Raw genomic sequence first — 16,973 nt, forward strand, 5'->3', positions numbered from 1 at the left:
AGGCAACTGGGCAGTGAGTGATTGGGAAGGAAAGGGAGACTGCAGAGCAAAAAAGCATTTTCACAAGGACACATTTGGAGAAAGACTAGAAGGCATGGAAAGCAAATGTTTATTTCAAACAATACCTGTGGTTTCTTAGAAGGAATATGTTGATTCAGGGAGTCTACAGTGTCCATCTTAGGAGATGTCCCGGTAGGGGTATGCTAAAATGGAATGAGGCACAGAGCACTATTTCTTTTATATTTATATTTAAACATGTTATCAATTATATGTGTAATATATATTATATATATTTTATATGTTATATAATACAATATTTTATTATAATATATATTTTATATATTATATAATACAATATATTATTATGTAATATATATTTTTTATATACAATATATATTTTATATATATATATACACACACACACATAGTTCTTAAAACATAGGGAAAGAACAATTTAAAAAGTGTGCCAATAAGCCAGGCAAGGTAAAGAGAAATAAAAATTTTAATGTTTATTTTTATGAATTTACCATTTGTAAATGTAGCTTCATTCATTCTTGCAAACTTTTTTGTTGTTTTTGAGAGCCACCATGAAGTGGGCACAGTGAACCTAGGTGACAACATCCTAGTCGTCTCTGGTCTCTGTTGTGCCTTCCGAATGGGGAGAAACAGACAAGAGAGGAAGAGACAGAGTCTGTTGGACATTGTTGGGTGTTATAGAGAAAAAGAAGGTGGGGGAAGGATGAGAAGTGAGCCGTGGTTGTTGGATGGTGATACACATCTGTGTACAGACCTGGAGGAGCTGAATGAGGGAACTGTGCTGATGGCAAGGGAAGGACATTCCAGATGGAATCTAGAGAGCAGACTGTGCCTAGGCTCTAACGTAGGTACCAGCTTGCTGTGCAAGGACACCAGAACAGAGGGGGTCAGATGCTGTGCAAATGAAAGCATGCTACAGTACTTAAAAGGGGACCCAGTGACTCAGGTGCCTCCATCATCGTCTTACTGTGGTGGAATTCCCACTCTTGCCCTTGGGACACCTCATTTCTAACTACTCAACATGTGTCTGCCTAACATGACCACATGGGGCCACCAACAACCTTACATAAAATACTATAAACATTATTTTATTTGGACAAAAATAAATATGGGATATACGTTTTAACATTTTCTTTCTGCATTCAGTGAGTGTTCTCGTGCATTATATTTTAGGGATCATTCCTCGTACCCCTCACTCTCACTGTATGTTATGATGACTTATTGGTTACCATATAATTACTTCACCATTTAAATACTTCTTAATTAGACTGGGCATGGCATTATTTCAAATTCTACTCTGAGTCTCAGGCTACATTGCTTTCCAACTACCTCTCCCCAGTGTATGTTAGAAACATCTAGATGCAAGAATAATTTTAAATACAGTGATACAATGACTTCTCTACTGGAAATAAGCTATCCTGCTCCATTTCGAAACAAACTAGCCAAATAAATGAAAGGACAGAGTGTGTTTGTGCATGTGTATGAATGTGTGTGTATATGTATGTGTATTTGTTTCTTATGTGTGTATGTATGCATGTGCATATGTGTATATAATTGTGTATGCATGTGAGTGTATGTATTTTTGTGGATATATGTGAATCAATGCATGACTGTGTGACTGTATGTGTATGTGTGTGCTTGTGTGTCTGTCTGTCTGTCTGTCTGTCTGTGAGCCAGTTCATGAGGGCCTTCTGGACACGCAATTCTTGCACCAGCTAAAGGGATTTGAGCTGAGAAGTGGTGTGACTTGACATAGGTTTTGCAAGCATCACTGTGGCTGCTCTTTTGAGAATGGAGGGAGGGAAGCAAGCAGGGAGTACAGCTTGAGGCTACTGTAATACCCAGGTAAGGGAAGATCACGCCTTGGTTCAATGTGGAAGTGATAGAGATACGGAGGAGAAAGTGAGAATTGATCCAGAATCCTGGGTGTCAGTCCCAATTCTGCAATATACCAGCTAGGAGACCCTGATCACCTCATTCAACCTTTAGCTTTTCCTATCTATTTTGTCTCCTCCAAAGAGGCATTGTGAAACTAAAACAAGGTGACAATATATAGAAGCATTTCCCAAACTCTGAACATCTCTTTAGTCAAGCATGTTGCCCAGAGCAGGATTTCACAAACATTGAATCAAATTAGTGGATCATAGAATTAGTTTAGTGGGTCACATTCAGCATTTAAGAATAACAGAATAAAAGAGAACAGATGAGACATAATGTTTGGGAAACATCATCATGGATGTTAAAGAATGAGATTTTGAGCCAGACAACCCTGCATTCCAAGCCCCATGTCAACCACTGACCTGTTGTTTGGCACTCCACACGTTAATGTATCTCTCTAGTCCTGTGTACTTATCTGAAAAGTTGATACATTTAAAAAAAATTCCTGCCTCATGAAATTTTGTAATTAAATGAGTTAGTAGACTTAAAGTGCTTAGCAATATACTTGGCATATAGTAAGCCCTCAATAAAATAATTCTTAAAGATTATAGTAATTATAGATTAACAGGTACAAAACCAGTGTGTAAATTACTATTTACCAAATTAGTACATTATATTGTTAAGTGATCAAAACAGACAAGTGCATGATTTAGAAATGTTTACAGGATTTCAAATGAATTTGTTTATATCTAAGTTCTCCTTAGTGACTCAAACCTAAAAGAACAGAAATATTCCTCACAGTATTTGCTATATTTCCAGTGTTTCCACATACATCTCTAATCTGTCTAAGCTGACAGAGACCAAAAAAAAAAAAAAAAGACTTATTTTTTTGTGCCTTTTACTGAAGTCATTCTACCAAAAAGCGCATTCTACCGCACGCAGTCAGTTATCAACCCAAGTTCTCCTTCCTTGGACGATTAGTCATTATTGCCGCTCTCCTCACCTACTCATCCTAGAAGACTTTTCAGAATTTTGTATTGCCAGATTCTCTCAGAGTCAAGCTTTCCAACCTCAGGACCCCCCATGCACTTGGTTTAAATAGAGACTGATTTATTTAATAATGAGTTTAGTATAGAACTGTTTTCCTTCTTAAGTGTTTAGTTTTAAGATGGCAAGGAAATTCTTGTCTGTCTTTTCAGTTAACATTAGTCATAGTTCATCCTTCTACCCTATTAGGTCATACATAGAATTCTACTGTGCCTTTGGGAGTTGCAAGATTTATTCTTTCATCAAGCTGGACATCCTACTGTTCCCCACAGAGCTTTTGCAAACACTTGCCTCATTTCTTCTGTTTGTTCACTGATTTAGGTAGCAAATACAGTGAGCAATCCAAGGTCCTCTGTATCTGACGTATTAATGCAATGCATGTCTTCCATACTAGGTGTTATCTTTAATGTTTATTTTCCTAAGTGCTTTGTCATCCTCTAAAATCCTCAGCTTCTTTATAAACAAATGAATAAATAATGTAGAAAAACAGCCATTAACAAGATCACAGTATAGTTCTATAATATTTAGTGAATATAGTCTAATGTCTTTGTAGCTGACTAATCAGTTCACTATTTTTTTATACTAAATGAAATTTAATGGTTTATGAGCTTTGCCTTGATTGCAGTAATTAGTAAATGAAAATGTGTTTGCATTTCCACCTGTGTGTTTGCATTTCCCAAGTCTTTTCTCACAAGGGAACCCTATACTAATAGCTCTAATCAAGGCCAACTACCTCACACACACAGTCAACAAATCTAAAAAAAATAGTAATACAGATAGTACAGTTTTTTCATGCTTTGAGTAAAATTCAGTTTCTTCTTTCATGCCAACATGTGTATTTTATGTAAGAAAACTCTAGCTTATAAAAAAAAACTTCTTACTATAAAAGAGTGATAGATAGAAAACAACACATATTTTTTGGAGAAAAATGAAAAGGATTCTTTAAGCTTCATGGTTTTGTTGAATGTAAAATAGACTTTATCAAATAGCATTAGCATGTAGATATTTTCAGAAGCATGCATGAAGAGTCCATCTCTATGTGTATTTTCCTAGTGGTTCATAACAAGAGGAGAAACATTTTTAAAAAGAAAGTTAAGAGAAGAATAGTGACTGTACTGCCTTAGGATCTTATATTCACATTAAATTAGCATTCATTTACTTGTCTCTTCTTTATGAGGTAATTCCCTGTGAATTTCATGAGCTTTCCATTGCTTTCCTACCAAACATCAACTAAACTCTATCTGGTGATTTAATGATCACTTTACATTTTGTCAGGGAGACTAATAAGCAAAGAAGTTTTGAGCATTCAGGAAAATGGTATAAAATGTGAATTCTATCTTTATGATTAAAATAACAGAAAAACAAAACAAACAAAACTGAAATATCCACATCTTTTCCTCTCCCTAGTTCAACTGCCATCTTCCATTGGCGGGTTTCCTGAGGGATAGAGCCGTATCTCTCTGTGGTCAGATGGTTGCGGAAATAGGAGGAGGAAAGAGGGGGACTTCCTCAGTTGTAAGAGGTGGATGGTAATTAATATTGTAACCTATTTTAACGTAACTTTTCCTGGTAAAGTGGGTTTGTTAATTATCTAATTATAATCAAACCAACCCCCACAAAATGACAAAAAGAGTAAAAACAAAACCTACACAAAATCTATATTAAAAAAAAGAATACCAAGAAGACAAGTACACATGACCAGTGAGAAAACACAGTAGCCCATCAAGCTACAGACATCATTGCACTTCCAAGACAGGCAATGCTCTAACAGCGAAGCAGCATCATCTGCTGGGGTAATTTCCAAGGTCCGTTGCCTCATGCCAAAGAAATCAAGGACACAGACACACAAGGAGTGAGTTTAAGAGCAGAGGTTTAATAGGCGAAAGAAAGAGAAAAGCTCTCTCTCTTGCAGAGAGAGGGGCTCCCAAGTGGGTGTCCTGGTTCAGGGGTGAAATGCATTGGGTTTTATAGACTAGTTCAAGGCTGTGATATCTGATTTACATAGGGCCCAAAAGATTGGTTGGACCAGGTGTGCCATTTACATAGAGCAGGAAGAAGCTTGCTGCCCCACCCTAATCTTTTATTACGCACATGGGTTCTCTACCTGGCCCCGCCATGTTGCCTGTTCCTTTACCGTATACGTGGTTGACAAAGAAAGGGGAAGATGGAGACTCCGTGTTGAACAGGCCTGGCCCCCAGGTAGCCTCTTCCTGTTAGCACCGCTGCCGGCTTTCAACTGTGCAAACTTCTAGCTTGCTTTTCTATGTCTGCAGCTTGAATTTTCAGGCTGCTCTTTGTTCGAAAAGAAATGATTTGGGGAATGCTTTTTATTGAAAGGAAAACCTTACAGAAGATTCTCTTACCCTCACTAACTACCTAGATAATTTCTTTTTAGTTCCTGTATCAGTAGGAACCCACAGCAAGTGCTGCTTTTGAGAGCGGAAACGCAAGCTATGGAAGGAGTGTTAGTGTGAAGAGTTTTTTGAAAATATTTCCATTTTTTTTCATGATTCGTGTTTCAGAAAATTGTATACGTATATCCATACTAAAGGCTTTTTATATTTACAGACTGAAAAAAATAGCATATTGAAAATAAATTTCAAAATCTCCACAATGAGGAATTACATTAAATCATTTTATAATTTGGAACAATTTTAGATTTTTAGAAAAATTGCCAAAATAGTACAGAGGGTTTCCAAATATCCTGTACCCAGTTGTATTATTAACATCTTACATTAGTGTAGTATGTTTGTTACAATTAATGAAGAAGTATTGCTATGTTATTACTAGGTCTATACTTTTAAAACATTTTCCTAGTTTTTACATCATGTTCTTTATTTTCCAGAATTTCATCCAATATATCACATTTCATTTAGCTGTTATTTCTCTTTAAAATTCTTTTGGCCATGATAGTTTCTCAGACTTTGTTTTTGATGACCTTGACAGTTTTGAAGAATCCTGGTGGTGTGTTCTAAATGTTTGTGCCTGCCCCCTACACCCCCGCATTCATACGTTGAAACCTAATCCCCATCCCCAGTGTGACAGTGTTAGGTGAGAGCTTTGGGAAGTGATCAGAGATGAATGCCTTTATAGAAGAAGTCCAAGAGAGCTGCCATGTTACTCCCACCATGGGAGGATACAACAAGATAATGTCATCTATGAATCAAAGAGCAAGCCCTCACCAGCTGCAAAATCTGCTGGTGCCTTGACCTTGGACTTTGCAGCCTCTAGAACTGAAAGACATACATTTCTGTTGTTTCTAAGTTACTCAGTCTAAGGCATTTTGTTCTAGCAGCCTGAACAGATGAAGACAGCTAGTCAGGTATTTAATAGATGCCCCTCAATTGAGATTTGTCAGAGTTTTTTTGTTTGTTTGTTTCATGATTAGACTGGAGTCATAGGTTTTCAGGAGGAAGACCACAGAGGTAAAGTGCCATTTTCATCACTTCATATCAAGGTTACATGTTATCAATAGTGATTATTACTGTCTGTGTTAACCTTAATCACCTGAGTGTACACTATGTTTTGAACACATTTGTTACAAATATAAGTTGCAATATCTTTCAACTAATTTGTTAGAAAAACTGACTTACATGATGTCAGATGATACTTTAATATCTCCATTTTATATCCAAACTTTTGTATGTTATGTGGATGGGATAGTAAGCATAGCCGATGATTCCTTTTCTTCCATTTTTGAAGTATCAGAGATTTTCCATTATGATGGCCATGTAAAGTAAATATTAAAACTGTCTGAAGTTAGATACAAATACCCAAATTGCTGTCTGATAAAGAATTCAACAAAGATTTTTTTTTAAAATAGGCATATTCAATCATATTCAAAATTATAAAATGGGTTTCTTTAATAAATAAATTAAAAATACAAAGATAAAAGTATATTTTAATTAATAAAATAAAAACGAAATATAGTTGCTTTTGCCTCTTTATTTTTATTTTTTTCAGATTACAGGGTTTTTTATTTGTTAAGCAGTATCATTCTCTGAAAGAATGCAGCACATAATATGTCTTAAAAGAAGTTTACTTAGATTTACCTTTTATTTGCATTTATTTACTTTTAACCTCATATCTTATATACCCATACATAGGAACATATATTATATATCCATAAAAATGAAAGTTAAAACCTTCTTAAAAGTTCCCCATTCGTTTCAAATGCCTTTTTTGCAATGCCTCTGAAGTGCTGAAGCAATCCGTGATTCAGGCTCTTCTATAAAAACTTGAATTTGGGGATTTGAAAAAGCTCATTTAATCATCCAAAGTACTTGCAAAATGGAAAACCAGAGATCAGAGAAGGGTCATAACTTTTAGAAACAGAGCTAGGATTATATCCCACCCTTTCGAATCAGCTAGATATAGGCTCTTGCCTCAAATCTGACATTTTGATGAACTTAGCTCAGATATTTAATTTGGATGGGCTGCAATTGCTTTATGAACAAAGTGGGTTTAACATATAGTTAATATCAAGATAAAGCCTAAACTATTAGCTCATGCTTACACTCAATAAATATTAGTTATATCCCCTCTTTTTTCTTCCATATTCTCTGCCATTCAACCACCCCACAATAGAAATGACAAAATTATTTATTTGAGAAAAAAGTACCATCATGCTTTTAAATTATGTAACAATAAGTTTTGTTTCTCTCCTTGACTTTGCTGTTTGAGATTCTTTTAGGAAAGTGATCATGACTTTGCTTTAGTTACACTGTAAGTATTACTAAAGCCTTGCACAGAAGCACACTGGTCTTGAGGCAAACCTGGTGTAAGTCATTAATCCCTGCAGCACCTTCTTGGTTATAGCAACAGTAATAAAGGCAATAAGGAATACTTAAATACTCACGTGGGTCATCTACATTTGTCCCTGGCTTCAAGTCTCTGTTAGGTGTCTGGAAGCCTTTGAACCTCAGCCTCTAGTCCTCAAAGGTCTTTTACACCATCCAAGACTTTAAGTAGAGCCTTAAATCTACTTAACATCTTCCTCTCCCAGCCAATGGGTTAGAGACAGTTTCTTATATCGCTAATCTGTAGATTACCTCATCTTCCCCTTCTATTCTGTCAGTTAACTCAAAATTCTCTAGCATTTTCCAATATTAAACACTCTCTGTCTCTGTTTAGAATATTCACAATCAGGTCTGTATTTTTCTCCAACCAGCTTTTGTTTGGTACCATTATTCAACACAGAAGGTGAGATATATGCAGTAATGTTTTTATTTTTTTTAGACAGAGTCTCACTCTGTCACCCAAGCTGGAGCGAAGTGGAACAATCTCACCTCACTGCAACCTCTGCCTCCTGGCAGGGTTCAAATGATTCTCCTGCTTCAGCCTCCCAACTAGCTGGGACTACAGGCGCATGCCTCCACACCCAGCTAATTTCTGTATTTTTAGTAGACACGGGGTTTCACCATGTTAGCCAGGCTGGTCTCAAACTCCTGAGAGCAGTCTGCCCACCTCAGCCTCCCAGAGTGCTGGAATTACAGGTGTGAGCCACTGCTCCTGGCCAATAATTTTAAAAAATAATTATATTCATAATATTATTTTTGGGGATCTTAAAACATAAATGTGTAAAATTTTGATAGAAAAGTAACTACTTCTGAGAATCTAAAGATCATACATTTTTGGAGTTTAACTCAAACAATAATGAAAATATATCAAATTTTGAGCAATCCCCTGAAATTGTAATTGTACTCTAAATTTCTATCAGGGAATAAAACTGAACAATTCTTAGTTTTGTTAGTTGTCTGAGATAATCTCCAGAAAAGAACTAATTTTTTAACACGAAGGGAAAACACTAAAATCAACAGAAAAAAAATTAGTAGGAAGCAGAAAAGTACAAAAAGCAAAAATTAAAAATAATCATTTCTCTCTTATGTGTTTCTTTGCTTTTGAAATCAGTGATTTTGGTTGATGAATAAGTTAACTGAACAATGAGGGTGCGTGCGTGTCTGTATTCTTTAAACAATAAAAAGAGTTGGTATTTTTGTTTTGCTAATTTGGTTATAAAAATATTTTAATCCCTGAAAACTCTAGCAGCAGATCAACAAACACGTGACATTACAGGATTGTTTTCTGAAAGAGTTAATAAAAGATGATTTAAAATATATTGCTTCAGGTAGTTTCATTATTAAAAAACACTAGCTTAAAATTGGTGGAATATCTTTGTATGTTAGATAGTGGAACTTAAATTCTTACTTCAATCAGAAATAAAAATTCATATATATTTATATATTTATCCATATATATGTATTTATATATTTATCCATATATATATATATATTTATCTGATCTAAAAGTGAACCAAATGGATATTCTGTTACAATATATGATCCCAGAGAGACAAGTACATCAGCCAAATTCTTCCTGCAGAGGCTGAAATTGTAGCATCCTGCGACCCTCTTTAAATATGGAAAATTATTCCAACCTCTTTCACTTTTCTTGAGTGTTGGCCACAGGTAGCTAAAACAAGTCCTCCGAACTGTTTTCTCTATGCCCAAATCCAGATGAATGCTCCCTGGGCCTAAGTGATAGGATAGCATCTCCGCTGCCTATTTGCAAATCGGTTAGTCTGGGTGCCTTGTCGTCACATTCTGTGATTTGTGTGTGAGACATTTACAATTTATGATTAATTCAGTAATTATTTTAGTAGAATAGCGATCATCTTTTCCAGTTCTGAGAATATCATACGTATCCTACTTTTACATGCATATTTTAATGCATTTCCCACGTAGGCTATTGGTTGATGTCTCCACGCTGGTGTTACTTAAAGATGCTTAGTATTTGTTCGCTGATGGCAGAAAGATGGAAACAGATTTGTTTTCTGTAATGCATTTGTCCTCCACTAAAAGCATTGATATGAAGAAGAAAGAAGGGAAGATAATAATTGAGACATTGCTTTATCATTCTCAGTACACTCCCTTGCATTTCTGTGCTATACTTAAATGAAATCTCAGACTCACTCGTGAATTAGCAACACCTCTCTCAGAGGAAAATGTGACCACTCTGTTCTTCGAAGTGATTTCTCTTATGTCATCTTTGTCGAAACCCTTCCATCCACTTAAGAGCTCCCCTCCTGCATTCCATTTCTACTTTCTAATTTACAGATACGGAGCCACTAAATCTCTACTTCTTGTTCTACTCATATTATGAATCTGTAACTCTTCTGGACATTTCAATGTCCTTTTAGGAATGCAGCAGACTTTTTAAATTGTTCGCCATTTATTGGTTTCAAGTACGTGGTGAGAGAGATTTAGGAGACTTTCTGAAGCAGTGTATCATTTTCTTTGTGTGCATAGTAATCATTTTTTTTCATGGTTACTTCCTGTGTTTATAGAGACATGCTTATTTTATTTGGGTAATGATTAGCCTTAATATAAAAAAAGGAACTGAGAATACAGGAATTTAAAATGTTTAGTAAGAATGATTATATTATAGTTAGAAAGGAAAACCTGTTAAGTGTAATGAAAAGTTGAACTAAAAATTTGTGCTTAAATTTTGCATTTTGATTTTCAGCCTCTTATGTGTGCCGAAGACTCAAGCATAGGTTTATTGTATTATAAACAAAACGAAATCAACCTGGAAAAGATTAATATCTATGTGCTGGGAATATTCCCTCCTAACCAGGGTGTCTAGAAGCTGTATCAACTGGGAGAATCCAGTGAGTAGATAGTTTGATTACCTAGTTTCGGAAGATTAAATTTAATAGTTCTGCTACGAGAATATCATGGAAAGGCTTCAGAGCTTTCTTATTTTCTTTCTTGATCAGGTCATTGCATCTTTATTCCCTCATGATCTTTTTTTTAATCTTCAATTCTTTTTCATCTTGCCGTCCATTTTAGCTTCAAAGGCTGATTCTTATCTTATTCCAAATATATTTACCAAGTACCATTCATCAAAACAATGACTACAAACCTTTCCCATGTAAGCGATTATATAGCTTAACCAAGAAGACAAACAGTAAAATGATTATTTGCTTAAAGTTATTTTGAAAGACACTTACCTTGTCTCAGCTGAGCACATTTGCTGATGCATGAGGCTGGCAGAGGCTGCGGTGTGTGGTTCTATCAGCAGCAGCACCCATTCTAAGCCAATAGTCTGTGTCTTTGATCATTTGCTGCAAGTTTTGGAGTATCATTGAAGACTGCCTTGAGGTATGCTCTTTGGATTATAGTGCCAGCATGAAAAGAATATTTTGGTTTGCCTGTCAATTGGTGGGGCTTCTCCCCTCCCCATAATAAGCTGGGACTATGACAAATTCCTACCCTGAGTCAAACATCCAAATCTCTACATTCTTTGTAGTGAACCTCAGAGAGGATCTGTGGTCGGGTTTGGAGTAACTACAAGCTTTATCATGCCCTGAAGGCACAAGTCAAAGGAGGATAGGGCAGGAGCTTGCCCATAATGAGGAAGCTTGCAGAGCAAAGGAGGGGAACCTGTCATCACACGGCTCCGGGTTTCTCCTTGAAGATAGTGAGGTTGTCTGTGGGGTCAGAGAGAAAAGTTGACTTGTCCGACAAAGAGATGGCAGGTGGTTTCTGCTTCCTCTGTGCATTTCTGAGTGCCCTTTGCCGTCTGCATCCAGGGAACCTAAGGACTGAAGGCCTTGGGAGGGGACCGTGCACTTAGCATTTGCTAGCTCTCTTTGCTGGCCAAGGCTTCGCTAACGCTTTGACTTTCTAGACTTCAAACTGTAGGGATCTCCTGCATGTGCCCACTCCTCCTTGATCTTGGGCACACTCCCCAGGATTAGCCTTGCATTCTCCTGACCTTGAATATCTTCCAGACACCTCCTGAGCCAAGCTAGCTATTTAGCCTTGGCTTTCCTTGCATGCTTGTTTCTTCATAACTCAATGATAATGATGATGAAATTTATGATATCTTAGTAGTAGTAGTAATACAGTGATAGCTTCTTCTATTGAATCTTACTATGTTCCAGACCCTATTCTAAGTGCTAAACGGGTATTAGCCATTAATTATTTCCAAAAAATAATTGATGTTGCTGTTACCACCACTTTCCCAATGACAAAATAAAGCACAAGTTGGGCTAGGTAATCAGTGCAAGGTTATATGATGAGTAGGAGGTGATGATGAGATTTGACCCCAGATATCTTGGGTTCAGAGTTAAGGCTTTTTACTCAGTGTTTTATTTCATTCCTTTTCGGGATTTTCATTTGAATGACTCATTTACCTAATAGTTGTTAATTATTTTCTGTGTGCCTGTGACATATAAATACAAATGACCTCTACTTTCAAAGACTTTGTATTTTAGTTTGAGAAAAATAAGCTGCTTTCATGGAAATTTTAAAACTCCGTTAGGTACGCAATTTGTTTTTTTTCCTTGGAATACCCTTACCACTCTGACTAATTTTCTAGTCTGTAAAATGCACTTCTTACGCACTTTGGCATTGAATGAAACAATGTCCATGAAAGCATTTTGCAAACTGAAAAAGCTGTACATATGCCGTATGGTGTAGTAATGACACTGTGGCTTTTTATGTGTAGTCCTAAAACACATAAGCTGCTTTCCCTCTTCAACAGTGGAGTTCATCTTTTTAGCCATTCATTCCAAAAGTATTTTTTGAATCCAACATATTGCTAGAGCTTTACATACCCTTTAGTTTAATCTTCATAACAACAGGATCTCTCCCATTTTTAAGATGCTGTCACTGAGAATCAGGAAGTTTAATTAATTCATTCAGAGGTATGCTACCTGTAAAGGAAAGAGCCAATGAATCCACTTTGTTTATTTTTTTAAATTTTGAAGCTGTGTTTTTTCCACCATGTAAGACATCTTCGTTTTGTCAGATTAGCGGTAAAGCTTCCTTTCCTCAGGGATCTCACATTATCCAAAACATGAAGTGATCATACCATGACTAGAATATATACATTAAGAAAACAAGGGAGAACAGTGACTAAATGCTGCTTTTAGAGCAGACTTTAGAAGAGAGGTGAGAGTTTATTTAGCTCTCTGCTGTAGCCAGGGTTGTTCGTTCTAGAAAGAACCAAAGCTTAGATGGAGATGGATCCAAGAGCTTGACGAGGGGCAGACACCAGGGGTGCTCGGGGAGTCAAGCTCAGGGAGCCCCTTGTGGCCATAGAGGCTGTGAAGGGCGCTTCCATCAGGGCTACTGTGGACAGAGCTCAATGATGGAAAATGACCTCCTACGGTTTCCGCTTTCTTTTCATGTCCCTCTCAAGATTTGAGGCCTCTAGAGAGGAGATCTGAGGTTCTAAGCTCATGGTATGTGCTCATGTTTACTATATCCCCACTCAGGGACAGGTGGTTGCAGGCTCCCAAGGGTTCCACAGTGAGGGATAAGGGCCTATTGTTTGCTTACAAAGAGACTGTATGAAATGAAGGAGACGTAATTCTTTAAGAAGGGTCTGGGTGCTCTTAGCAAGATTACTGATGCCAGGGAGCAGGAAATCAACGAATGTCCATCATTGCTTTAAAGAAAATGAACAAGAGCTTCTCAGTGAAAGAGGAACACCGTGGCCTTCTGAGAAGGGTCAGAAAGTGGAAGCCTCACCAAAGCACAAAAGGGCATGTTTCATTTATTGAGAGAAAAAAAAAAAATGAGTATGACTAAAGGATCATGCACTTGGCAAAGTGGGTAGGTTTCAAGTCTGGGAAGGTCAACTGAATTTGGGAGATAAGAACCTTGTATTCTAACATACTTCAGGGACCACTGTGACAGGCCATGAGAAATGTTTAGGGGTAGAGCATTTACATGCCATTGTTTTCTTGCAGTTGGTTGTTAAATACCCCTGTCTCCCTTGGCAGTGTTGAAGAGCAGGCAAAATGAAGCCAGTCCAAATGCATAAGCCCAGCGTACAGACTCATCTTTTCCGGTGAATTATCCCTAATAGCATAGAGGATTTGTGAAGGGAGCATAGAGCAGAGATCTCAGAGGAAGCCACCATGCACAGACAGGTACATTCTTTTCAGTCTTCTGCACCTTCTTACAATTTATGTGAACTTTGAAATTTTCTTCGTGGTGTGTCCATAAAATATACATCTAATTGTTGAATTAGAGGGACAATGGATGGCTCACTCAATATCCATTTCCTCCTTCTTTTTACTTGTAAACCCTTAATTCTGTCCCTGTGCCCACCCTCCCAACACAGATGTATACACAGCAAGGATGATGCTGTGTCCAGTTTCAGGGTGATTCAATAAGCCAATCATGGGAGTCCCATGACTGTTGTCAGCCATGTAGTTAGGAGGGACCCAGTGATTTCGAGGGGTCATACTGGAATATTCTTCCTTGTTCTTGAAAGAGAGACAATGATGTATCAGTCTTCTTTTCTGGACATTTTTGTGTCTGCCATCCTCAGAGCTGTGGTTATTCTTTGACACTGGGGAGGTAGACTGAGGAGAGGCTCTAGGGTGAACATAATAGAGCAAAAAATAGAATCTGGAGGTTTGATTCTTCATGACACCATGGAGTCTCTGTGTTCATCAGCCTGGGAACTGCTGGACATGTGATCTGCTGCCATGTGAGGTGAATTGCTCTCTTGAGGCACTGAGCCCAGGCCTTCAGGTACCAGTTCAGGAGAAAGCATCCTCACGAATTTACCTCCAAATCCTTCAGTAAAGCAGGGGCTGCAGGAAGGTTCACAGCCTTAATCTCATGAATTTCTGTTTCCCTATCCTCACCACATGTCTGTGGACCCCTGAGATAATTCATGCCTTCATTTGAGAAACTCAGAGCACCACCTTCTTTATGGCGATAGGTAATTTGAACTTAATGCATATACTGACAATAAAGTATGTAAAATATAAACATCAAATTTGCTTTCATGGGATAGACATAATACATTCTCTTTCTCTTCTGTATGTATATAAGTATAATTGGGTAGGGGCTGTCTGTCTAGTGACCATGCTTAATTTTGATTTGGGGGGATTATATTCAATTTACCTGCAAAGGAAAAATGTGTTTTGTGTGAATAAGCATGTGTTTTGTGAGAGCTAGTCATTTTCCCCAAAGTCTAAAAATGTGTAAAAGACATTCTCTATACAATGTAAACAAGTTGTTTTATGTGTGACATCTGAAATGTGTGTTTCACTGTACTGCTCAGTTCAGCATCTACTCTAATTCTCCAATGAGGGCTTTGATATGTGACGGGGAAAGGAAGGGTCACTGGGGCTCCTTGGAGGCAGCCATGGAAGGCAAGGAAGCTTTTCTCTCTTTCTTTTTCATTGTCCTGTGCCATGACAGCACACTGTTTTTTCTCTCTCTCAACTGATCTCTTAAAAAATAAATAAGATACTCACTTGCATTATGCAATAGAATATATTTTCTTCTGTGAGTTATGAAATTTGGCATGATGAGGACATTGTAATATGGTCACTTTATAGACATCAATACGTATTAGTTCTGACATTTTGTAGGGCTTCCTTACTTTTTTTTTTTTGTGACACAGTTGGCCCTTGTTGCCCAGGATGCCATCTTGGCTCGCCACAACCTCCACCTCCCGGTTCCAAGCGATTCTCTTGCCTCAGCCTCCTGAGTAGCTGGGATTACGGATTACAGACATGCACCACTATGCCCGGCTAATTTTTTTGTTTTGTTTGTTTGTTTGTTTGTTTGTTTGTCTGTTTGTTTAGTAGAGACGGAGTTTCTCCATGTTGGTCAGGCTGTTCTTGAGTGAACTCCCCACCTCAGGTGAACTGCCTGCCTTGGCCTCCCAAAGTGCTGGGATTACAGGCATGAGCCACTGCAGCCAGTCTGGCTTCCTTACATTTTTATATTTGCTTAGGAGTTAGGTTATAAATAGAGCACCAGTAACTTTGGAAGGATGTAAATAAACAACTTGAATTGAACCCTAAGTCAGTATTTGAAGACCAAACATGAAAGTAAATAGTTTTACCGAGTCTCTAGAAATTCTGTTTGAGTTGTTTTTTTCTTAGTATTATTTTATGTGTGAATGGAATGAATTTTTCATATTATTTTTATGTTTGAAATATTCATTTATAGAGTACAAAGCATATGGGTTTCTGTTTAATAAGAAATCGATATTTTCATCAACGCTTTTTTTGGTAACTCTCCTTTAAGTAATATTTTTAGATATGACAGATGGAACATAATCAAGAATGAACAATTTCTGTTCATGTGTGGCCGGAATTAAGCTCCAGCTGGAAATTTCAAACGTCTGGAATTCACAAGATACCTTCCCAGCTCCACTCCCCATCTGTGCCTCTGTTTACAGCTCTCTTCCATTTTTACTTCTAAAATACTGGGTGTTTGTTTCCTTTGTAGCTCTAGTTAGTAGAAGGACACTGGTCTTTGAGTCTGAATTCTAGTCCTATTACATTCTAGTTTTGATCCTAAGATGATCTTGTTTGAGTTTTAATTTCTTCCTTGGGAGAAAAGAGATGCTGCAGTTTCACAAGGTCGTTGGGGTTGGTTAGTGGATCAGCTCACACAACCCACGGACAGGAACAGAATAGGACATTTAGCACAAGGGTGGCCATAGCATGAATATTTGCTGAATGTATTTTCCTAAATGTGGAATCAAGAATCAGCAGCTTAAAAGAGCTAATGAATTCTCCAATCCATCATTCTGATTTTATAGACAAGAAGACTCCACCCCTGAGAAGAAGAGTGAAACACCAGAGGCTCCAAAGGAACCCAGTGACAGAGCAGGGGCTAAGGGCCAGTACACGGTGTATTTGCATTTACCCCAGGAATCCGTCAAAATGCCAATTGCAAATTAACCTTTCAAAGCATTAAGCAACTTAATTATTTTCCAAAATTTAATCTGATGGTCTGCTGCCAACTCACTGCTGATTCTAGACAGTTCCTTTTTTATAAAGAATAATTATTTGTGTACTTTGGGTTCATTGCTGAGAGAAGCAGTATTGTTTTGGGGAGAAAGGAAAGGTTTCAAATGAGCCAGACATACTCCATGCATATGGAATTACTTCTACATTCTATTAGTATCTTCTTCAAAGTACCCTATCTTGTTCAGTGCCAGTTTAAACAGCACAGTTGCTT

At 37.4% G+C, this 16,973-nt stretch overlaps 1 long non-coding RNA gene across 1 annotated transcript; it reads left to right on the forward strand.

Annotated features, from left to right (window-relative positions):
* Positions 1 to 5,089: 5,089 nt before the first annotated feature.
* On the forward strand, positions 5,090 to 16,664 carry LOC105377793 (uncharacterized). Its single transcript, XR_941372.2, has 3 exons — positions 5,090 to 5,160; positions 13,757 to 13,906; positions 16,552 to 16,664. It is a non-coding gene; the product is annotated as an uncharacterized LOC105377793 (long non-coding RNA).
* Positions 16,665 to 16,973: the final 309 nt, after the last annotated feature.

The sequence above is a fragment of the Homo sapiens genome, chromosome 8 (assembly GCF_000001405.40).
Source record: "Homo sapiens chromosome 8, GRCh38.p14 Primary Assembly".
Taxonomy (NCBI): domain Eukaryota; kingdom Metazoa; phylum Chordata; class Mammalia; order Primates; family Hominidae; genus Homo; species Homo sapiens.